The 24,812-nt window shown below is 39.7% G+C and overlaps 1 long non-coding RNA gene and 1 pseudogene across 1 annotated transcript in view, besides 2 other annotated features; one reads left to right on the forward strand and one right to left on the reverse strand.

Annotated features, from left to right (window-relative positions):
• The window catches only part of LINC02882 (long intergenic non-protein coding RNA 2882), a 159,459-nt gene extending 137,839 nt beyond the window's left edge, over positions 1 to 21,620 (reverse strand). Inside the window, exons 1-3 of the long non-coding RNA NR_038300.1 lie at positions 21,304 to 21,620; positions 14,849 to 14,935; positions 14,014 to 14,082 (exon numbers count right to left, since the gene is read on the reverse strand). This is a non-coding gene — a long non-coding RNA (long intergenic non-protein coding RNA 2882). The remainder of the gene's footprint in view (positions 1 to 14,013; positions 14,083 to 14,848; positions 14,936 to 21,303) is intronic.
• Positions 20,974 to 21,622: an enhancer, noted in NCBI's record as "H3K4me1 hESC enhancer chr12:74685765-74686413 (GRCh37/hg19 assembly coordinates)". NCBI's record gives its function as "activates a minimal SCP1, AML or CMV promoter by ChIP-STARR-seq in primed H9 embryonic stem cells {active_cell/tissue: H9 hESC(primed)}" and the evidence as "EXISTENCE:reporter gene assay evidence [ECO:0000049][PMID:30033119]".
• On the forward strand, positions 21,254 to 23,321 carry VENTXP3 (VENT homeobox pseudogene 3; annotated as a pseudogene).
• Positions 21,623 to 22,270: an enhancer, noted in NCBI's record as "H3K4me1 hESC enhancer chr12:74686414-74687061 (GRCh37/hg19 assembly coordinates)". NCBI's record gives its function as "activates a minimal SCP1, AML or CMV promoter by ChIP-STARR-seq in primed H9 embryonic stem cells {active_cell/tissue: H9 hESC(primed)}" and the evidence as "EXISTENCE:reporter gene assay evidence [ECO:0000049][PMID:30033119]".

Raw genomic sequence — 24,812 nt, forward strand, 5'->3', positions numbered from 1 at the left:
ACTGTGTGGAAATGAATGTGGATACTGGTCTTGTGTCACTGGGCCACTTGGATAAAAAATGAAAAGGATCCAGTTCACCTTCAGAAAGGAAAAAATGGCCCTTCCTGTACTAAGGGATAATGTACCCCTTAGAGCTAGTAATAACCAATGCCCTTGATCCTTGCTGGAAAAAAGGGAAGCATGTAAACTTAGGAATCGACGGGGCTGGACTGGATCCTCGAGTAAATATCTTAGTTCCAGGAGAAGTTTACAAACGCTCTCCTGAGCCAGTGTTTCAAACTTTCTATGATGAACTAAATGTGCCATCACCAGAAATTCCAGGAAAAACAAGAAATTTGTTTTTGCAATTAGCCAAGCATGTGGCCCGGTCTCTCAATGTCACTTCATGTTATGTATGTGGAGGAACTGTAATGGGAGATCAATGGCCATGGGAAGCCCGAGAATTAGTACCTACAGACTCAGTTCCTGATGAATTCCCAGCTCAAAAGAATCACCCTGATAATTTCTAGGCCCTAAAAGCCTCAATTATTGGACAATATTGCATAGCTACAGAAGGAAAATAATTCACTAATCCCATCGGACGACTTAGTTTTCTGGGACAGAAACTGTATAATAGTACCACAAAAACAGTCACTTGGTGGAGTTCAAATCACACAGAGAGGAATCTATTTAATAAATTCCCAAGTTGCAAACCATATGGACCCACCCGGAGTCCCAACGGGACTGGACAGTCCCCACTGGATCATACTGGATATGTAGGCATAGAGCTTATGCCAAATTACCCGACCAGCGGGCAGGTAGTTGTGTTATTGGCACTATTAAACCATATTTCTTCTTACTGCCCATAAAAACAGGCGAACTCCTGGGCTTCCCTGTCTATGCTTCCCGCGAAAAGAGAAGCATAGCTACAGGAAATTGGAAAGATGATGAATGGCCCCCTTAGAGAATCATACAATATTATGGGCCTGCTACTTGGGCACAAGATGGCTCGTGGGGGTACCAGACCCCCATTTACATGATCAACCGAATCATACAGTTACAAGCTGTCTTAGAAATAATCACTAATAAAACCAGCAAAGCCTTGACTATTCTGGCCCAGCAAGAAACTCAGATGAGAAATGCTATCTATCAAAATGGATTTACTCTAGACTACTTGCTAGCAGCTGAAGGAGGGGTCTGTGGGAAATTTAACCTTACTAATTGCTGTCTACACATAAATGATGAAGGGCAAGTAGTTGAAGACATAGAGATATGACAAAACTGGCATATGTGTCCATGCAAGTGTGGCATGGATTTAATCCTGGGGCCCTGTTGGGAAAATGGTTCCCAGTGCTAGGAGGATTTAAAACTCTTATAATAGGAGTTACAATAGTAATAGGAACCTGCTTACTGCTCCCTTGTTTGCTACCTGTACTTCTTCAAATGATAAAAAGCTTCACTGCTACCTTAGTTCGTCAAAATGCTTCAGCACAAGTGTACTATATGAATCACTATTGATCTGTCTGGCAAGAAGACATGGGTAGCGAGAATGAAAGTGAGAACTCCCACTACTGAGTGAGATTCTCAAAGGAGGGGAATAAGGGAGGAGACCACCCCTCATATTGTCTTATGCCCTCCAAAGAAAGAAGAAGTAAAAACTAAAAGGCAGAAATGAAATCCACAAGCAGAGAGCCCGGCGCCACACCCTGGGCCTGGTAGTTAAAGATCGATCCCTGACCTAATCGGTTATTTGATTAAGAAAAGCACTGTGAAGATCCCTGTCCTGTTCTGTTCCGTTCTGATTACCAGTGCATGTAGCCCCCAGTCACGTACTCCCTGCTTGCTCAATTGATCACAACCTTCTAACGCGGACCCCCTTAGAGTTGTGAGTCCTTAAGAGGGACAGGAATTGCTCACTCGGGGAGCTTGATTGTTGGAGACTTGAGTGATGCTGAATTTCCTGGCCAAATAAAGCCCTTCCTTCTTTAACTCAGTGTCTGAGGGGTTTTGTCTGTGGCTTGTCCTGCTACAAAACAATAGAACAATGACATTGAAATGTTGTGTGTAATATCCTATATTTTAGTATCTTATGGTAAAGAAGTTTCTAATATTTGCTTTTTTAAAACAAATTTAAAAGGCACAAACTAGGGTAGAATATTTCTGATAACAAAACTACTACTTTTGTGGTTTTATGATATGCATTCTTTGACTTTCTTGGAAGTATCCTCTGTACTTGTCCACTCTTTAAAGAACCACAGAATTTTACCCTTACTGATGAATTGAAAATACATAGAAAATAAATTGGCATTTGTTTAGGATTCCCCCCAAACTCCATACCCTTAGAAGAAACTAGTGAGGAAAATAGTCTCAGTTAAAAAGAACTTGAATTTTACAGCAAATTTAATCTTGGAAATCTCCCTCCATACGAAGCAAGAGAACAAAGAAAAAATATTTACAATATAAGAATATCTATATATTTGAATACCTGGAGGACAAGATTGCCCTGATGTGGATAGGTCTGTAGAAGACCCTGAATTGGTTTCTAGCTGTTCAGCAAGCTGCAATTGGTGGCCGCATTATTATTGTGAATATTCTTATGAAACCAACAGTAACTAGGTCACAGTATGCCAGTTGTGAGCCATCCTGTTTGCAGGGTTGTTTGAAAAAGAAAACTTTTATTGTTACTGTTTAGAAAAGGCACATTCTATTTGAGCCCTTTCAAACAGGGGTCCAAAGCAATTCAGCTATTTTTTAGGCCACAAAGCAATGAGTATAAGAAGGAAGAAAAGGCTTTTAAGGAAAAATAATGAATCCATATGCCACATAATGAAAGTTAGCTGCTCTTTCAATGGCATCTCTCTGTCATTTGCCAGTTTTAATCCCTTTTTCTATGTTGGCAAGAATAGAAGCAGGAACACAAGATGACAGTCTGGGTCAGTCATTATCGTGTTCATGCCAGGTACTCAGCCTGTTATCTGACTCTAAGATGACACAAAGCACCCTGAAAATGTTCCAAATATGGTTGGATTCCATCTTCCACACTTCTTTTGCATCTCTTAATGGTAGTGTGAAGTCTCAGTAGAAATAACAAGAAACATACCTTTTCTTAACATACATATCATCCAGATATTTAAAATCCATTAACTCTTTTAAATGATAGAATTTTAATGAAGACATTTACATTAAGCCTACTTGATTAGGTTTTCATATTTTTATGCATACTGGCAATGTATACTAAAATAAATGTATGTTTATTATTTTAGTGGTGACATTTTTCTGAATACCGTTCCACTATCCTCCAATTAACATTCATCTGGTTGTAGCACTTGGGAACTTCCAGTTTCACCTCTGATGGGTAAGGAGCTTGCAAGTCACTATTCCCATGCTTACAACAAGAAAAAAAGGCTGAACAAGCAGAAAATAAAAGGCTGTTTTGAACCCATCAGAGAATTGAGGCCACAGGGCAAACTACAGTACTGAAATTTGAAATAGGTGAATTCAGAGAATCACAGCAGAGCTCTGCTTACTTGGAACAGAAGCCACTGCAGCCATAACCTAGTAGTAATATTCCAGTGGTGACTTTGACAGATTGTGGAAGGCTGAGTGGAATAACAGTATGAGAGTGAGAACTCCTGGGTGATGCAGATTCAGGAGGGTCTCAAGACTTTTGTGAATTTCACCTCCAGGAACCCCACCAGTTCCTCAGTGGGGAACCCCTGAGATAACCCCACCAGTTATCTCAGTGAAAATACAGTAAAGATCCCTATGGCCACAGCAGAAGGGAAAAGTAACCATCCTAAAATCCTGTAGTCTTCTTCGTAACAAAGGGCTCAGCTGATCTGGAGGAAAAGTTAACTGTCCTATTCTAGTCCCTTCTAACCTGGCTGTTTTACACAAGTGAAGAAAAAGAGAGTTTAAAAAATATCTGTGAAGGTTTAAAGTCCAAGGACATGGTGCCTCCAAACAGAATAAAGTTAAAAAACTAAAACCTGAATTTCCTATATACACACCTTTAGAAAGTATATAGATTCACTCTTATGATCATGGAACTTCTATAGAAGAAATTGAGGAACAAATGGATGATTGGTTGGAAAACAGGAACTGAACACAGAAGAAAAAATGCACCTGAATGGACAGAAGAGGACCTCAGCCAACTGATAAGAAGTATGGTTAAGTTCCCAGGAGGGACTCCAGGTCGATGGGAAAAGATTGCCCACGAATTGGGTCGATCTGTGACACATACTTACCCAAGGGAGACTGATTCCGTGTCTGCAATAGATATTTTTTCCTTTTATCCTGGAAGTGGAAAACCTGACATTATGAAGTGGTGTTTTTTCTGTTTTTTGGGGTTTTTTTTTTTGGCCAAGTATTAGTTCTGTTTTCATAATAACAAAGGTACCTTGGAAATAAATATGTAATAAATCTAAACTTCTGTTGTACAAAAAAAAGACTGATAAATAATAAAATTATAGAATGCTCCCCTTCCCAAAACTTTACCTCCACAACATCAGTGGGGCCATAAACAATAGTGGGTTGCAGCTGAAACTGCTGAAAGACAAAGACTCAATTCAAGGAGTTCTTAGGAAACCCAAAAGAAAACAGGAAATATTAAAAATAAGGACAACTAGATCAATTGGAAGACTGCCAACTACAACCACAGTAAACATTAAACATAGCCCAATTCCTAGCAAGTTTAACATAAAAATTCACACTATGTGACTATTACATTTGGAGATTTCAACACACTCTTTCAGTAATTAACATATTCAACAGGTACAAAATCAAGTGTGGTGGTTAACACTGAGTGTCAACGTGATGGGATTGAAGGATACAAAGTATTGATCTCGGATGTGTTTCTAAGGTTGTTGCCAAAAGAGATTAATATTTGAGTCAGTGGGCTAGGGAAGGCAGATCCACCCTTAATCTGGTGGGCACAATCTAATCAGCTGCCAGTGGATATAAAGCAGGCAGAAAAACGTGAAAAAGAGAGCTGGGCCTAGCTCCCCAGCCTACATCTTTCTCCTGAGCTAGAACCTTCCTGTCCTTGAACACTGGACCCCAAGTTCTTCAGTTTTGAGACTTAGACTGGCTCTCCTTCCTCCTCAGCTTGCAGACAGCCTATTGTGGGACTTTGTAATCATGTAAGTCAATACATATGTGTGTGTGTGTGTGTGTGTATATATATATATATATATATACACTATTAGTTCTGTTTCTCTAAAAGAACCCTGACTAATAGATTTTGGTACCAGGAGTGGTTCTAGAGGAAAAGAATATTAAGGATTGAGTTCTTTTGGGTTTGAGTTTCTAGAGTTGGTTGCTTAATATGATTAGACCCAAAATGCTAAGGACTCTACTTCTAATACTATGAAGAACACTGATAGTCCTTTGCATGAACTGTTTAGAGAGTTACACAAAATAAATGCATTTGACACTCCTGATTCACTGCTCATGAGAGGCATAGAGTTTAGTGACTCTATACATAATACTTTTGACCATATGTGGAGAAACAAGGAACATAATGGAGCTGGTTGGTTGCTCCTAAGTTCACTGGAAAAAGTGATGAAAGAAAATGAAGAACTCAGGGATTCTGTCTCCTGGCTTCAGAAGCAGATACTGAGCCTCAAAACTGCTAAGATTGCCCTGATTAAGAGTTTTATCTCCTGTAGAGAAAGAGCTGAAATTGTGGAAAAACAGACAAAAGCTCTTTATCATGCGAGTTGCTGATCTGCAACAAAAGATGAATGCACAGCCTTACCAGGTGTCTACTGTTAAAATGAGGGCATTGATTGGAAAAGAATGGGACCCTGCAACTTGTAATGGGGATGTGTGGGAGGACCCTGATGAAGGTGGGGACACTGAGTTTGTAAACTTTGATGAACCTTTTCTGCCAGAAGGAACACCTTCCTCCTCCCCAGTAGTGGCAACATCCCCTCCCTGACCCATGCTGCCATCAGCCTCTCCACATTTGTCTGAGGAGATAAACCCTGTGCTGCCTAAGGCAACAGTGATGACTCCCCTGAGGCAGTTGCCAGGCAAGATAATGTTGATTCTCCTCAGAATCCATCCCCAACACCCCTGTTTGTTTCTAGACCTATAACTAGGCTAAAATCTCAGCGGGCCCCTAGAGGTGAGGTTGAGTGTGTGACCCAGGAGGAGGTGGAGTACCCTAAAAAAAACTGTTTGAGTTCTCTAATTTATATAAAGAGCAATCTGGAGAACAGCCATGGGAATGGATATTAAAGGTATGGGATAATGGTGGAAGAAACAGAGTAGGATCAGGCTAAATTTATTGATTTGGGCCCGCTAAGTAGGGATTCTGCATTTAATGTTGCAGCTTGGGAAGTTGAAAAGGGTTCTAATAGTTTATTTGCTTGGATAGCTGAAATGTGGATTAAATGATGGCCCAATGTGAGCAAGCTGGAAATGCCTGATCTCCCTTGGGTTAATGTAGAGGAAGGGATTCAAAGACTTAGGGAGATTGTGATGGTGGAGTGGATTAGTCACTTTAGGCCTACTCATCCCAGCTTGGAGAATCTAGAAGATATAGCCTTGACCAATGTCTTGCAAAATAGATTTGTGAGGGCAGAACCTGCATCTTTGAAGAGCCCTGTAATTGCTCTTCTCTGTATGTCAGATCTAACGGTGGGAACCACAGTCACTCAACTACAACATTTAAATACAATGGGAGTAATTGGATCCCAAGATGGCAGGGACCAAGTGGCAGCACTCAACCATCAAAAGCAAGGTGGGTGTAGTTACAGTAATGAAAAGCAGAGGCAAAACGACAATCAGAATAATCTGACTCGCATAGAGCTCTGGCATTGGCTAATTAATCAGAGTGTTCCTAGAAGTGAAATTGATAGGAAGCCTACAGCATTCCTACTTAAATTATACAAACAGAAAACTTCTAAGTGGAATGAGCAAAAGACTAATTTGCATTATAAAAACAGGGGATCACAGCCCCTCAATCAATTTCCAGACTTGAGCCAGTTTACAGACCCAGAATCCCTTGAATGAAGGGGAGGCCAGGTCCCCTTGAGGAAGGATTCCACTACATATGGACAATTTATGCAGTGAATCTTTCTCCCATTCTTCCCCAAGGAGACCTGTGGCCTTTTCCCAGGGTAACTGTGCTATGGAGAAAGGGAATTGATCAGACATTTTGGGGACTACTGAACACTGGCTCTGAGCTGACATTGATTCCAGGGGACCCAAAATGTCGTTGCAGTCCTCCAGTTAAAGTAGAGGCTCATGGATGTCAGGTAATTAATGGAGTTTTAGCTCAGATCCAACTTACAGTGGGTCTGGTGGGTCCGGTGGGTCCAGTGGGTCCCTGGACTCATTCTTTGGTCATTTTCCCAGTGACAGAATGCATAATTGGCATAGACATACTTAGCAGCTGACAGATCCCCCACATTGGCTCCCTGACTGGCAGGGTGAGGGCTATTATGCCTTCAGTGGCCTTGCCAGCTGAAGGCAAATTGCTTCTGGTGGGCCTTATGGACAGGAATGGTGCGAAAGGCCAACTGGGAGCCACTAGCGCTGCCTCAATCTAGAAAAATAGTAAATCAAAAACAATATCACATCCCTGGAGGGATTCCGGAGATTAGTGCCACTATCAAAGACTTGAAAGATGCAGGGGTGGTGTTTCCCACCACATCCCCATTCAACTCTCCTATTTGGCCTGTGCAGAAGACAGAGGGATCTTGGAGAATGACAGTGGATTATCATAAGCTTAACAAAGTGATGACTCCAGTTGCAGCTGCTGTACCAGATGTGGTTTCACTCCTTGAGCAAACTAACACATCTTCTGGTACCTGGTATGCAGCCATTTACTTGGCAAATGCCTTTTTCTTTATTCCTGTCCATATGGCCCACCAGAAGCAATTTGCCTTCAGCTGGCAAGGCCACTGAAGGCACAGCAATATACCTTTACTGTGCTACCTCAGGGGTATATGAACTCTCTGGCTTTGCATCATAATCTTATTCAGAGAGACCTTGATCACTTTTTACTTCTGCAAGATACCACACTGGTCGATTACATTGATGATATTATGCTGATTGGATCCAGTGAGCAAGAAGTAGCAATGCATTAAACTTACTGGTCAGACGTTTGCTGGCCAGAGGATGGGAAATAAATCTAACTAAAATTCGGTATACTTCTATCAGTAAAACTTCTAGGGGTCCAGTGGTGTGGAGCCTATTAAGATATTCTTTCTAAGGTGAAGGATAAGTTACTGCATTTGGCCCCTCCTACAACCAAGAAAGAGGCACAATGCCTAGTAGCCTATTTGGATTTTAGAGACAACACATTTCTCATTCAGGTGTGTTACTCTGGCCCATTTATCAAGTGACCTGAAAGGTTGCCAGTTTTGAGTGGGGTGCAGAATAGGAGAAAGCTCTGCAACAGGTTCAGGCTGCTGTGCAAGCTTCTCTGCCACTTGGGCCATGTGACTCAGCAGATCCAATGCTGCTTCTGGTGTCAGTGGCAGAAAGAGATGCTGTTTGGAGCCTTTGGAGGCTGTCATAGGTGAATCACAGCAGAGGCCCCTAGGATTTTGGGGCAAGGCCCTGTCATCTTCTGCAGATAACTACTCTCCTTTTCAGAGATAGCTCTTAGCCTGTTACTGAGCTTTTGTGGAAACTGAACATTTGATTATGGATCATCAAATCACCATGCGACCTAAACTTCCTATTATGAACTGGGTGCTTTCTGACCCATCTAGCCATGAATGACCCATGCACAACAGCATTCCATCATTAAATGGAAGTGATATATATGTGATGGGGCTTGAGCAGGTCCTGAAGGCACAAAAAGTTACCTGAGGAAGTGGTTCTAACACCCATAGTATCCAGTCCTGCCACCCTGCCTTCTCTCCCTCAGCCTGCACTGAAGGCCTCATGGGGATTTCTCTATGATCATGGGGAGTTGACAGAAGAAAAGAAGACTAGGGCTTAGTTCACAGATGGTTCTGCACGATACGCAGGCACTATCCGAAAGTGGACAGCTGCAGCACTACAGCCCCATTCTATGACATCCCTGTAGGACAGCGGTGAAGGGAAATCTTTCCAGTGGGCAGAACTTCAAGCCATGCACCTGGGTGTACACTTTGCATGGAAGGAGAAATGGCCAGATATGTGATTATATACTGATTCATGGGCTGTAGCCAATGGTTTGGCTGAATGGTCAGAGATCTGGAAGAAGCATGATTGTAAAATTGGTGAGAAAGAAATTTGGGGAAGAGGTATGTGGATGGACCTCTCTGAGTAGTTGAAAACTGTGAAGTTATTTGTATCCCATGTGAGTGCTCACCAAGAGGTGATCTCAGCGGAGGAGCAGTTTAATAATCAACTGGATAGGATAACCCGTTCTGTGGACACCACTCAGTCTCTTTCCCCAGCCACGCCTGTCATTGCCCAATGGGCCGATGAACAAAGTGGCCATGGTAGCAGGGATAGAAGTTACACAGTAGCTCCGCAACATGGACTTCCACTCACCAAGGCTGACCTGGCTATGACCACTGCTGAGTGACCAATTTGCCAGCAGCACAGACCAACACTGAGTCCTTGATATGGCACCATTCCTCAGGGTGATCAGCCAGCTACCTGGTGGCATGTTGATTATATTGGACCTCTTCCATCATGAAAAGGGCAGAGGTTTGTACTCACTGGAATAGACACTTACTCCAGATATGAGTTTGCCTATCCTGCATGCAATGCTTCTGCCAAGACTACCATCCGTGGACTCACAGAATGCCTTACCTATAGTATTCCACACAGCATAGAAATTCTGACCAAGGCACTCACTTTATGGCTAAAGAAGTGCAGCACTGGGCTCATCCTCATGGTATTCACTGGTTTTACCATGTTCCCCACCATCTGGAAGCAGCTGGATTGACAGAACAGTGAAATGGCCTTTTGAAGTCACAATTACAACTCCAACTAGGTGACAATACTTTGCAGGTTTAGACAAAGTTCTCCAGAAGGCTGTGTATGCTCTGAATCAGCGTCCAGTATATGGTACTGTTTCTCCCATAGCCAGGATTTACAGGTCCAGTAATCAAGGGGTGGAAGTGGAAGTGGCACCACTCACTATCACCCCTAGTGATCCACTAGCAAAATTTTTACTTCCTATTCCTGTGACATTACATTCTGCTGGCCTAGAGGTCTTAGTTCCAGAGTGAGGAATGCTGCCACCAGGAGACACAACAATTATTCCATAAAACTGGAAGTTAAGATTGCCACCTGGACACTTTGGGCTCCTCCTACCTTTAAGTCAACAGGCTAAGAAGTGAGTTACAGTGTTGGCTGGGGTGACTGACCCCTGACTATCAAGATGAAATCAGTCTACTACTCCACAATGGAGGTAAGGAAGAGTATGCATGGAATACAAAGATCCATTAGGGTGTCTCTTAGTATTACCATGCCCTGTGATTAAGGTCAATGGGAAACTACAACAGCCCAATCCAGGCAGGACTACAAATGGCCCAGGCTCTTCAGGAATGAAGGTTTGGGTTACTCCACCAGGAAAAAAAACACAACCTGCTGAGGTGCTTGCTGAAGGCAAAGGGCATACAGAATGGGTAGTTGAAGAAGGTAGTCATCAATACCAGCTACAACCATGTGACCAGCTGCAGAAACAAGGACTGTAATTGTCATGAGTATTTCCTCCTTCTTTTGTTAAAGATGTGTTTGTGCATGTATACACTTGTACTAAGATATTCATTTTATTTCCTTTTCCTTTATCATGTGACATAAGATTTATTGACTTCATATCAGCATTTAAGTATTTTTAACTTTATGTAATAGTATTTGGGTTGGGGATTGGTGAGTTTCAGGTTGTACGAAGGATAGGTATTACGTTAGGTATAATTATGACTTTATTATTGTCTTTATTTGAAGATTATTTATGATCTCAGGAGATATGTATTTGTTCAAATTCACAAGAGATGGACTTGTGATGATTAATACTGAGTACCAACTTGATTGGATTGAAGGATACAAAGTGTTGATCCTGGGTGTGTCTGTGAGGGTGTTGCCAGAAGGTATTAACATTTGATTCAGTGGGCTGAGGAAGGCAGATCCACCCTTAATCTGGTGAGCATGATCTAATCAGCTGGCAGCAAATATAAAACAGGCAGAAAAACCTGAAAAGGAGAGATGGGCTTAGCCTCTCCAGCCTACATCTTTCTCTCATGCTGGATGCTTCCTCCCCTCAAACATTGGACTCCAAGTTCCTCAGTTCTGGGACTGGAACTGGCTCTCTCTGCTCCTCAGCTTGCAGACAGCCTATTGTGGGACCTTGTGATCATGTAAGTTAATACTTAATAAACTCCTCTATATATATGTATGTAAGATATATACGATAACTAATAGGATATATATACATATATACATATATATCCTATTAGTTCTGTCCAAGAGAACCCTAATACAACAGTGATACTTTCAAACTGAACCGCACAATTAATCAGCAGATCGAATTGATGTTTGCAGAATACCTCATCCAATAACAGCAGCATATACATTTTTCTCAAGCTTATATGGAATATTAACCGAGATAAATACACTTGAACAAATGTAAAAAATAGAAATAAAAAGTATGTACCAGACCACACTAGAATTAAACTAGAAATTATAGGTGACTGGAAATAGCTGAAAAATTTAGAAATATTTAGAGATTAAACAATGTATTTCTAAATACAACATAATGCAAAGAAGATAGTGCCAGAGATGTTAAAAAATATTTTGAACTAATATGAAAATGAAAATAAAACAACATTTGTGGGATGCCACAGAAACAGTGCTTAGAGGCAAATTAATAGCACTGAATACATACAAAGGTCTAAGATAAATGACCCAAGTTTCCATCTTATGAAACTAAAGAAAGAAGACCTGTTTAAACAGAAGGGAAAAAGTAATAATTAGAGCAGAAATCAATGAAATAAAAAAATAAGAAATCAAGAGAGAAAATTAACAAATTGAACAGCTGGTTCTTTGAAAAGATCAATAAAATAGATAAACCTTTAGCCAGGTTAACTAAGAAAAAATAAATAGGATAAAAATTTCTAATACCAAAAATGAAGAAGGAATCATCGCTACTGATATTACAGACATTAAAATAGTAATAAATAATATTATGAACAACTTTAAGCTGTTCAAATGTTGCAGCCATGTTTATAAATACTCACCTTGGCCAAGATTGATTGGTCTGGTATAAGCCAATACACAGAAAATATTTATTGAGCATTTATTGTATAATAATTTACCCTAGCTTCTGAGGATCCAACAGCAAGCAAAACACAAAAAAGTTCTATCCTACACTAAGCTTACATTTACTTATTGCCTAAGTAAATAATTTTAGAGGTAATGAGAATTCAGAATTTTTTTCCTTGCTTCTGCCTGTGATTCTTAATTCTGTGATTTAATCTTAAAAACAAAAAATACTAAATCAGTGAAATCATAGTTTTTGTTCAAAGATTTTTGACTTTCCATCACACTCCGAATACAAGTCCTTGCTGTTAAAGTGTCCCTATTTGCTGTAACCCTGCCTCCCCATATTTCCATGACTCTACTTTTGCCACCTTTCTACTTACTTACTCTGCTTTTGAGTTTCATGGATAGTCTTGTTGTTTAGTTTACCTAAAATACTCTTCAGTGAAATAGCTGCATGGCTTGTTTCGTCCCTCCTGTTAAGTCTCTGCTCAAATACATCTTTATTGTTGAAATCTTTCATGACCACCCTGTACAAAATAAGTCTTTCATTATTGTTCTTATCCTGCTTTAATTATATTCATAGAAGTGGTCCCCAATGGATATAATATATAAACTATACTTTATCATCTATCTACACTCACACATGCCACTAGGAGATAAGCTGCATGAGAGCGAAATGTTTGTTCAGTTCATCGCCTCACCAACATTTGGAACAATGTCTGATACATAGAAGGTACTCAGTAGCAATTTATTAAATGAATAGATTCCCGATTTAAAAATATGTATATATTTTTCTATATTTGAAATTTTCAAACATATAATCATAAGAAACAATCTGGAGAATTATAAAACATTCATATTTCAATTTCAATATTCTTTCAGCTTTTCTATGCTACTAAAAGATGACAAGTACTTCTAGCATCTTTACATACAGATATTAAGGGGAGAAAGGAATGGTTCTGAAGTACAAAGTGAGGAAAATAGATATATTAGGATTCAGGGGTAAGGAGTATCTGGAGAAACAGAAAAACATAGACAGGTAATCACAGTCTTAGAGATAGTCTAGAACTGAGCAAAGTGCCTGGAGGATGGAGGGTGCAAAGGCAGGTGGACAACAAAAAATGCGAAAAAGAAAGTGGCCAAATACATTTTACATTATACTTCAATGTAAAACTTCTCCACTGGTTGAGAACTTCAATGAAATATTCAACGAACAGTGACTATAAAAAAACTCAAGAAAAGGGGGTCTATTTCACATCTGAGTTTCAAAACATAGAAAGAAGTTAGTGAACAGAGGCATGATTGAGACTGGTTGCTGAGGACCAATTGTGTTCTCACCAAATTTATATGTTGAGATCCTAACCCACAATGTAACAGTATGAGGAGGTAAGGCCTTGGGGAGGTGATTAGTTTGTGACGGTGGAGCCCTCATGAATGGGATTTGTGCCCTTTTTATAAAAAAGACCCCAGGGAATTCTTTCTCCTTTTCTACCATGTGAGGACACAGCCAGAAGATGGCTATCTATGAACCAGAAAGTGGGCCCTCACCAGATACCAAATCTTCCAGTGCCTTGATTGATCTTACACTTGCCAGTCTCCAGAGTTGCGAGAAAAAAATGTTTGTTGTTTCTGTTACCCAGTGTATGGTATTTTCATTATAGCAGCCTGAACTAAGACACTGGGAATCATTGAAAGCAGAAACTTCAGACAGGACACTGGGTTTCAAAATATGGATCACTGTTATCAGTTCTGATTTGATGAGAAAAGGAGAACTATGAGAAACAAAATGGATATATTATAAAGTTTAAACCTTACATGATCTTGGGTGCTGGTTAGGCCTTCTATGTAAGTCTTCTTCCCCTATGTCAGATGATGGTCCTGAAGCTAGAAAGGAAAAATAGAAATAAAGTGAGAGAGAAGAAAGACAAAGTAGAGTATTTGAGAATGAGCTGAAACCCATGAGGATAAACTGAAATTTGTCCATCACATAAAGCTATATTAGTCTCTCATTGTCTCCAGCCTACAATTTTGTTTGTATGGGGGGCCTGCAGTATAGCTGAGGTACTTCTCTACAGAGTTTCATGTAAGTGTGGTCTAGGATCCAGGGAAACTGAAGAAAGAGATCAAATGGAAGCTGAAGGAGCTCTGGGTCTGGCTGCAGTCCCAAGGAGATCTGGCAGAATCTAAAGCTGTTGTGGGCTAGCTACTGCCTCTAGCCAATGACGTGAGCCAGTAGATCCACATTAAAATATGTGACTTGTAAGAGCATCTCACTCTAGTCTGATTTTCCAAGCATAAACAAGACTGCCGCTTAACTCCTTTCTTCCAAATCTTGTTAACATATCTATTGTGGAAATCCGTAACTTAGAATCACGTAAGAAAGCAAATTGTGAAAATGTGGTTCCAAATTTGTGATTTTAACAAAATATAAATGCAGTCTGTAACTGATATGTATTGCTGTGTGAAAAGCACAGAGTAGTGTAAACAATAGTGTAAAACGACACCTTTATTTATGATTATCTTTCAAAGTTCTAGAGATTGGCCTTGGCTGGGTGGTTCTTGCTCCGGGTTTCTCATGTGGTTGCAGATAATGAGTAACATCATTCTAAGGAGTTCTCTCACATGTCTGATAGATAATGATGTCAGTCACCTGGATTCCATTTGCTGCTTTGGGCTGAAACACAACTCAGTTGCCTGGATTTCATCACAGCTCATGGTTGGTTTCCAGGACAAGCATCTGAAAGCCAAACAGAAGCTGTTTCACCTTTTATGACATAACATTTGGAGTCATGCATTGTTACCTCTGTCACATTAATAAATGTATTAGTCAGGGTTCAGTTAGAGAAACAGGACTCATAAGGAATGTATACCTTGAAAGGAATTCACTTATTTTGGAGGCTGGTTAGGCAAGTTTCACAACCATAAGGTACGCCATCAGCAGCAACAACTTGGAACTCTTGGATATGACTGAAGCTGCTGTCTATAGGCACACATTTTTCAGAAAATCCCTGTTCTGCTCCTAATCTGGAGATCATCAAATTCCACAGAATGGTTGCTATATGAAAATGACAGTCACTGCTTCAGTCACATCCACTTTGAAATCTAAGTTCATGCTGACAGCCTTTAACCAGCTCATTGATACACTGATACTACTACTCCAAGTTAATGAGCCACTCAAGATGAGAATAGAAGGAAAAAGTCAGGGCTTGCAAATGAGTTTAGTCGGCTTATCCTATAGATAAGAGCCTTGATGTGGTAGCTCTTAGGCTGCATCACACTGATTTGGAAGGCTTAGAAAATGCCATGCCCATTTGCAGATCACTAGATAAATAGCTTGATGAGAAAGTCTTGCAACACTGATAGAATCAGATATATTACCCATGTGTTTTTGTTTTTGTTTGGTTTTGCCTAAACATCTGTCTGTCACACATGATTTTCCTCTTCTGTGCTCTCACAATAATTTAAAAACAATATTTATAAAGATAAATCTAATTTAAAAATTAAATAGATTCAAAACATTTAAATTAAGCAAAAATGCTGACTCTATGTGGAACAAATTAAATGGAGTCTCAATTGCTATATTACTGATATCTTTAAACTTTCTTCTCTTGCTTATTTAACATAAACAAATAAGAAACTGATATATTTAAGCTCTCTTTCACTGCTGATCACCAGCTTTAGAGTCTATTCTCAGAACTTTAGATCACAAATGGTGAGATCCATGACTATGTATAAAAACAAGCTGGAAGCAGTTTCAACCTTTGGCATTCTGAGAGTTTCTTCCAGAGAGTGCTTATCCCAGCAAAAGCTAGTGAAAATATACGTCTAAATGCACAGTACCCTGTCATGTCTTTGACTTTACTGCTAAGACTTCAAAAAGAACTTTTCAAACTTTTTTTTTCAGGGACTTCACTACTCATGAAAGAATCTTTCCTTTGTTAAAGAGAGATCCACTAATTTAGGAAATTAAGCCTAAGACGTTCAACTATGCAGTATTATTAGTGACAACATAAGATGTTAAATCGCGTAGAATTCCACATTATAGTGTGAGTTTCAAGCCTCCATTGAATACTCAACTGACCAGGAAATAAGAGGAAATAGTTTATGTAAGAATTCATTGTAACATGAATGAGTTATTTCTGCTTTTAACTTACTGAAAATCTACTTGAAACACAAGGAATATATGTAAACTACTAACAGATTTATCAAGGGAGTCTATCATTGGCACAGTCTATTTTAAGGAAATTCAAGTTCACAAGGCATGAAAGACAAGTCTCACTGTTTCCTGCTAGTCAGACCACTTGCTACCATGAAAACATCATATTTTAAGAGTGACATATGTACACGTGAGTTGTTGGAAGTTTTCCTGGAATCATATGCTATGGAGAAAAAAAAAATCACGATTCTAGTGTGGTTACAGTCCTTTAAAAATTCTTAGAGAATACATGACAACTTTTTCTTCAATATATGAAGATTAGTCACAGAAAAGGGGGAGAAGACACTGTGAAAGTAAATCTGTAGCAGAAAAGTAAATATTACAGAAAAGATAGTTTTGTTCACTATAAGAAATAGCATAGCATTTGGAGATATACCTAATGTTAAACGACGAGTTACTGGGTGCAGCACACCAACATGGCACATGTATACATATGTAACTAACCTGCACGTTGTGCACATGTACCCTAAAACTTATAGTAAAAAAAAAAAAAAAGAAATAGCATTTAGACCTGTCCAATCGTGGATAAATTTCCACAGGAGGTATTGAAGCTCGTTATTTTTCGTTCTACTTCCAGTTTTTATTAATAGGGACAAACATTCACCATTTCAGCAACTCTGCATCCATTAGCAAGTAATTTTATAATGTCATTTGGCTTAATAAGAAATGCATTCACAAAGGTCCTTTTAAAAAACAAGCTATTTGTAAATCAAGGCACATCTCTAGTTATTTTCTTATGATTGGAAATATTAAAGCTGGATATCAATTGCTAGTTAACAACTAGAGGGGATTTTTGTGCTTGATGGAATGTTGACCTCTATGTTCCTAAGTATTCTTTTGTAATGATAAGATTGTTAATAGCTTAATAAAGACCACCAAAATAGAATTCAAAAGAGTTTGGATTTACTGTTGCTTTTTCCTCATTTGATCATGGAAAATTATTTAGCCTCTCTCTTTTTCACGCTTAGAGCATTATTGTGCTATAAGTCAGCAAGATAAAAGATGGCATAATGCATGAAATAGTTTATGATAGTCTAGTATGCATGAAATATCATACTCTCTGGAGTTCTCTGATGTGGTGGATTTCAGGCGGAATTTGAAGAATGAGTAAGCTTTAATTTTGAAGAGATTTCATTCTAAAAGGGGAGTAAAGACAAAGGCAGATTACTATGATTTGGAAATACTTTTTAAAAATTTCCAATGGGCTATTCCGGGCAAATGGAAGGTAGGATGAACCTACCCTATATGGCATCAGTCAGTAAACTAGAATCAGTGGACCAACTCTGGCCTGTTTTGGTAAATAAAAGGTTATTGGATCCCAGACTTGCTATTTCTTTACATATATTTATAGCTGCTTTTCTGAGACAAACTGGAGAGTTTAGTACTTGTGACTCTCTAGAGACTGAGTGGCCAGCAAAATTCTAAAATATTTGCTATCTACCTCTTTAAGGAAAAGTTTGCTTACTCCTGCTTTAAGGAATCTTTGTGTGTCCTTAGAAAAGAAAAAGAGAAATACCTTGCCTGTGAGAAATTCCCAGAGGATTTTCTCTGCAGCAGCGATTCTTTGTTCTTTATTATTTTGGCAATAATTCATATGATAGATTTTAGAATATAAAAGACAATAATGGTTTAGTGGAAAAGCAGGAAGATCCCAGTATTTCACAGCAGCTAAATTTCTGTCTCAGCAACAAGAAGAAGGTTGATTTACAATTTATTTAAATGACAGTAATCATGATACTTGCAATATATGACATTTTGTGTAACTTCAAGTATTATTTCATCTTTAGTATTAAACAATAAACCTTGATATTGCTTAGGATTAGGAGCAGAGTTAACTACGTAAGTACTCATGCTATATACGTGGTAGAAGATATATTAGAAAGTCTTCATTCTTCTTCAGTACCTCATTTTTCCTTTATTCATCTACTCATTTATTTCCTCTTGCCCCAAAAGGCAATTCACTTCAAAAAGCTATATTACTGAAAAATATGATGGAAGACATAAGTCACATAAATTAGATAATTCAAAGATAAGGCTGTTTCTAGCTCACCACTAATTTTCCTTTGATTTGTGCTTTTTTCCTTTTTACATAGAAGTCTGCATGTGTTTTGCCATAAGTCAGCTTAACTTCACACCTGATGATTAGTTCCACGTGACTGGTGAAAAGTATTGCTATACATAAAACATACCTGGTTTCAGACCCTATCAGCCTGTAAGCACAATGATTATTTACTATATCAATGTGATTCTAAAATTGCTTTTTAAGACTTTTGTTATTTAGTGCTGACATAAAAATTTTTGAAGCAGTTGGGCTTTCATTGAAATTGCTTGAGAATCATGAGTAAATCTTTTCACAAAAATACTGAGAGCAAGTAGAGAAAACACTGGCTGTATTGCCTGGAGGTAAGAGTACAACACTATTTTTTTTTCTCTCTCTCTCTCTCCGGTGCTTAGTTAAGAAGCTTTAAGGCTTTGCATGGTCCTTGGGTGGGACTTGGAATAAGTCAAACAGAAGCTTAATTCCTGCTTCTTTTTGACAATGATTTTCTCAAGCTCTGTACTTCAGTTTTCACATCTGCAAAATTAGGCTAAAAATTTCTCTCAAAAAGTTGCTATGCTTTAAGTTTAAGAAAACACATAATAGGCACGCTGTCATATACACAAGCATTTTCTACATCAATGTTATAGACCCTATTTCTTACTGTTTAACAATATACTTAGATTAACATCCGTATATTTAATAAAACAAAATTTTAATTGAAGGGAAGAAAATTAGGCAAATTATTTACCATGACCAAATTTGTCCATAATTACAGTTTACTCATTTGTAACTTACCCAAATATCATTCTTTTATATATAACACAAATTAGTACATATCATTGATATTCTTTCTCTGATAATGTCTACTGCTGTAGAGAAAAGACTTCATTAAATATTGTCAAAATCCTGCTATTTTCACATAGTCCTTAATGCTTTTGAATCCTGGGAAAGTGGTATTGATTATCATCTTACTTAGTGTCACATCTTCCAGAATTTTTATGGGAGTGGTGACAATTGCCACTGCCCACAAAGTGGCTATGAATGAAGATTAAACAGCTGCTTTGATTCTAGATTGTTATCACCCAAATTGAAATGTCATAACACATTGTATAGAGAAGGCAAGCAGCTTACTGAGGAGGAAATCTCCTAATATTGACATCCTACCTATTTATCTAAATCAATTCTAAAGACAAAAATATCAAATCAATGTTAATCAAATGGAATGCAAGCTGACCCTGAGTATAAGGGGAAGGAAATGTTACTCAAAACATGTGACCAGCTAGTTTTTATATCCTTTTACTTTTCTTCTTTTAAAAATATATAAAAATAAAATAACTACAAAATTACACATACATGATTGTCTGCTTCAATGATGTAGTTACCGTCTGTTTTTAGGAAGAAAGTTTCTTCTCCAGAAGCTGTACCATTGATGTATATTGTACAGTTGGGAGAAGCAATTCAAAGAACTAAGGAGGGAGTAAACTTCCAATAAGTTCCTTTGCAAGATATTTCAGGGATGCTAACAATGAACCCAACTGAGGATCTGTGGTTCTTCCTCCTGGGATTTTTTTTTTTTTTTTTGGAAGTTGCTGGGTTTCTTTTAAATACTCTTAAACAAAAGGGAAGGGTGTATAATTGGAAACAATGGCTCTGAACCAGATCACAATATCTGGTCTCGTGTGTGTGTGTGTGTGTGTGTGTGTGTGAGTGTAGAGACAGAGACAGGATCTTGCTATGTTGCTCAAGCTAGTCTCGAACTCTGGGCCTCAAGCAATCCTCCCACCTCAGCCTCCCAAATTGCTGGAATTACAGGTGTGAGCTACCACACCTGACCCTCAATCTGGACTTTAGCCAACTGAGTGATCAGTTACTTGTTGTAAGAGATCTCCATTCTAGTGTTTTTGAAGATGACAGAAACCCCTCAATGTAAGAAGAAATTTAAAGGAAAATGCCATGTGTGGTTACTTCTGAAAATTCACACACTTTAGAGTTTTGTTATACGCAAGGTAGTAGAAATCATACTATAAAAGTGTCAAGTTTAAAGAGTTTGTATGTTCTATGTCAAAAATTGTTTTCTATCCCATCCTCCAAAACTGTATCTTGTAGACACAGATGTGAGAATTTAGTTTAGTAGATGTTCATCACTGTTATAAGTGACCCCAATTTACAGAATTTATCTTCTGTTTTCTGTTGTCACATCAACCAGTCTAATATAATTAGACACATGAAGTAAATGTATTTTGTAGGTTTAAAATATGCCATCTGCTTGACAGTTATACATATTGCAACCACCATTTAGTGCCAGCATTATAAAAAAATTATATATATATTTTTTGGGGGGAAACAGAACTACTTTGTTGCCCAGGCTGGAGTGCAGTGGTGCAATCTCAGCTCACTGCAACCTCCACCTCCTGGGTTTAAACAGTTCTCGTGCCTCAGCCTCCCAATTAGCTGAGATTACAGGCACGCACCACCACGCCCGGCTAATTTTTGTATTTTTAGTAGAGACAGGGTTTCACCATGTCGGCCAGGCTGGTCTAGAACTCCTGACCTCAAGAAATCCACCTCAGCCTCACAAAGCGCTGGGATTACAGGCATGAGCCACCGCGCCAGGCCATAAATAAATATTATCACAAGAAATTAAATCAAAGTAATCTCACTTTTAATTGGCAAAAATTAAAAAAAACTCAAATTACGTGGTCTTAAGGAAAAAGAGTTTAAGCTTTACAATATATTGACAACATAGTAACATTAAAAATTAAAAGCAAATATTATTTTATAGATTAAAAAAATCACCCAGGTAGATCCTGCGCCTGGCCAGCCCCGCCCAGCCTTCCCTCCGGCCCACCTGACGGCCTTGCGTCTCTCCTCCTCCCCAACTTGTGGCCGGCAGCTGCCCTCCAGCTTTGGCTCCGTGGACTGGCTCTCCCAGAGCAGCTGCTCAGAGCCGACTCACACCTCCAGGCCTGCCAGGTCTCCCAGGGGAGCCTCCCTGGCCTGTGTCAGATATCCGGCACCCGGGAGCCCCCTCAGGCCGTCAGCATCAAGGAGTCTAGGTCCTCAAATCGGCCTGCGCCGGAGAGGACCGTGGTTGGGTTGAGTAAGGGGCCAAACCCCTGGCGGGCCCCCAGTGTCCGCACAGCCTTCACCACTGAGTAGTTCCGCGCCTTGGAGACCGTCTTCCGGTACCACCAGTACTTGGGCTCTCAAGAGCGGAAGAGGCTGGCCAGGGAGATGCAGCTCTGGGAGGTCCAGATAAAAACCTGGTTTCAAAATCCCCGGATGAAACACAAAGGGCAAATGCAGGACTCCCAGCTGAATAGTCCCTTCTCTGAGTCACTCCATGCGTCCCTGGCTTTCCATTCCCTGTCTTCTGGCCTTCCCAATGGCCTGCAGCTGCTGTGCTCTCGGGCACCCCTGCCCAGGCCCCAGGCTCTGATGCTGCCCCCGGCTCCTTCTGGGGTCTCTGCCGAGTGGGACAAGAAGCCCTGGCCTCTGCATGGGCTTCCTGCTGTGGGCAGCCTCTGGCGTACCATCCCCCAAGCCCAGGAAGTGGCGTGAATCCGCTAGGACCAGCCCTGTCTACGGGGCTCTGAGGCCTGTGTGCTCTGCTGGAGACAAGGGTTGCATTTTGAGTAAGCGCCTCTGACTCCATGCCTCCCACACACGCGGCCTTGTGCAGATCGCACCTGGCACCTACCTGGAGGACTCAGCTGTTCTGTTTATATCGTGGGGGCACCTCTCACCCTGACCCACACAAAGGTTCTGGAGATTTCTGGAGAATGTATTTATTAAAGCTACCTCTTTACTGAAAGTTACCAAAAGGGTCGGTTTACGAAGTAAATGAAGGGTCAGTGAACAGAGTCAGACGCAGAAGTGGGTTTGTTATTGGTAGGGCTTTCAGCATATGATAAAAGGATAATTTGTTTTTTAAAAAGTGTTGGAAAAACTGTTTTTCCATTTGGAAAAAGTAAAGGTTGTAAGCTTTGTGTGTAAAAAAAAAAAACCATGAAGGATTGGAAGGGAATGCAGGTGTCGTGTTTATAACTTTGTGGTTCGAGTTCCTTTTAACAAGGACGCCGAAGCTGGAAAGCAGGAGGGACAAGGGTGAAAATTAAGGCGGGGTGCTGGGGCCCTGCAGTGCGCTCTAGGTCGTGCGTGAGCTGGGACTGTGCCCGCAGCCTGCTGGGGGCTGCTCTTCTCCAGCCAGGGAAAGCAGAAAGCAGGGCAGCTGGAACCTGCTGCTGTGCCTGGACCGAAGCCTCCAGCATGTGCTTACCTATCCCCCTCCTCGCAGCAGCCTCAGGACAAAACAGAATGACTCAAGGACAGCATTTCCTGCAGAAAGTCAGGAAGTGCCCATTATGGGAGGCATGGAAGCCCCCCCACCCCGGGTAGTACTCTCCCTCATTGATGGACCATTCTTGGTGCAGACTCCTCACTGCACACACCAAAGCTGAGACAAGAGCGCATCCGTCCACGTCGCCCCAGGAGGTAGGCAGCGCGAGGCGCCCAGACAGACGGGTTCAGCCTGCAAGACTGTGAGGCGACTTGTGAAACCGACCCAAGCATTCCAACAGGAACAAAAGTGTGGTCCTGTGGCCACGTCCACAGCAAGTTCCACTTTCCCCTTGCTCATTTCTGCGTTGTTGGAGGTGTTTACAACCAGCATGTGCTTTTATAACACAACCTCAGGTAAGAGTGGAAGAGCTGCCGTGCGTCCTGGAGAGTGATAATGTGACGGAAGCCTGGGCGAAGCCCTCGGAGAGCAGTGGCTGGACAGGGGCTCCTGGGTGGGGCTTGGACAGCACTGATTTGTGGGTGTGGAAGGGGCCACGTTGTCCGTGATAAAAGTAAAAATGCGCCGCCAAAAAAAAAAAATCACCCAGCACTTTGGGATGCCCAGATGGGTGGATCACTTGAGGCAAGGAGTTCAATTCCAGCCTGGCCAACATGGTGAAACCCCGTCTCTACTGAAAATACAAAAATTAACCAGGCATGGTAGCCTGGGCCTGTAGTCCCAGCTACTCAGGAGCCTGAAGCACGAGAATCGCTTGAACCCGGGAGGTGGAGGTTGCAGTGAGCAGAGATGGCGCCACCGCACTCCAGCCTAGGTGACAGAGCAAGACTCTGTCAAAATTTAAATATATATATATTTATATTACATATATATTTAAATATATATATTTATATTACATATATTTAAATATATATATTTATATTACATATATATTTAAAAATATATATATTTATATTACATATTTAAAAAATATATATTTAAATATATATATTTATATTACATATATTTTAAAATATATATTTATATTACATATATATTTAAAAATATATATTTTTAATCACAGTTGGAAGAATGTACATCTAAGAAGTTGCCACAAGATTTTTGTATCTTTGTGGTAGACTGTGATAAAATATGTTTGACCAGTGAATTAATTCACAGAACACATTTAGGTTAAAAATAAAAACAGAAGAGTAAATTTTATAGCTTTTATTACAACTATGGCCAAAAAGTGAGCCATATAGAGGGAGCCTGTTGTCACTGCAACAAGAGGGAAGAACAGAATAGCTTTTGCTATTCTGTTGCTGTACACTCTTGGATATTCCAAGAAACAAGATTCGAATATCATATTGGCAACTATTGCAAATGTAGATATTTGTGGATTAATCAATGTAAAGTAGGTACATTTTGTTTGGACCTTTATTTATTTTTCTACATTCTCCCCCTTTTGTATAGTGCTTCCTCTCTACCTTCAGTAAAGAATCGCCTACCATTTTGGCAGAGGTGGGTGGAAAGTTTCTTAGCTGGGCCTTAAATTCCTGCCTGTGGGGATCTCAGACTAAAACTATATATTCCTTGATATTATGAATATAACAAAGATGTTATTTTTCATATTAGGGTATGTTTCATACAGTACTTTGCTGAATGGTCTCATTTCTTCTATGCTAATTTGTTAAAAAGATATAGATTCAAATGATGAAATAATATATAAATAGGATTTATTCAATAAATATTGAAGTATTACAAATACTTAGAAGTGTTCCATTTTTTGAATCTGTTGATTCAATCCTCATAATCCATTTGTTCGTTGTAATTTCACATTTAAAAAAGGCTACTTGATTCTCAGTAGCTGAATTTTCAGTGCATGTGAGTGTTTACTATTTAGCTTATATTGGTAAGTTATCTGACATGACTATTGGTATATATGTTACCTTATGTCGTTTTGGGTAAAAGTGTCTTTTATTTTGACTTCTACAAATTGATACAATAAAGAAAACTGGAAAAAAATAGTTTACCACTATTTAAACACATTTTTTTAAAAAAGCTTTCAATTAGAGAAA

Source organism: Homo sapiens, chromosome 12, assembly GCF_000001405.40.
Source record: "Homo sapiens chromosome 12, GRCh38.p14 Primary Assembly".
NCBI classification, from domain to species: domain Eukaryota; kingdom Metazoa; phylum Chordata; class Mammalia; order Primates; family Hominidae; genus Homo; species Homo sapiens.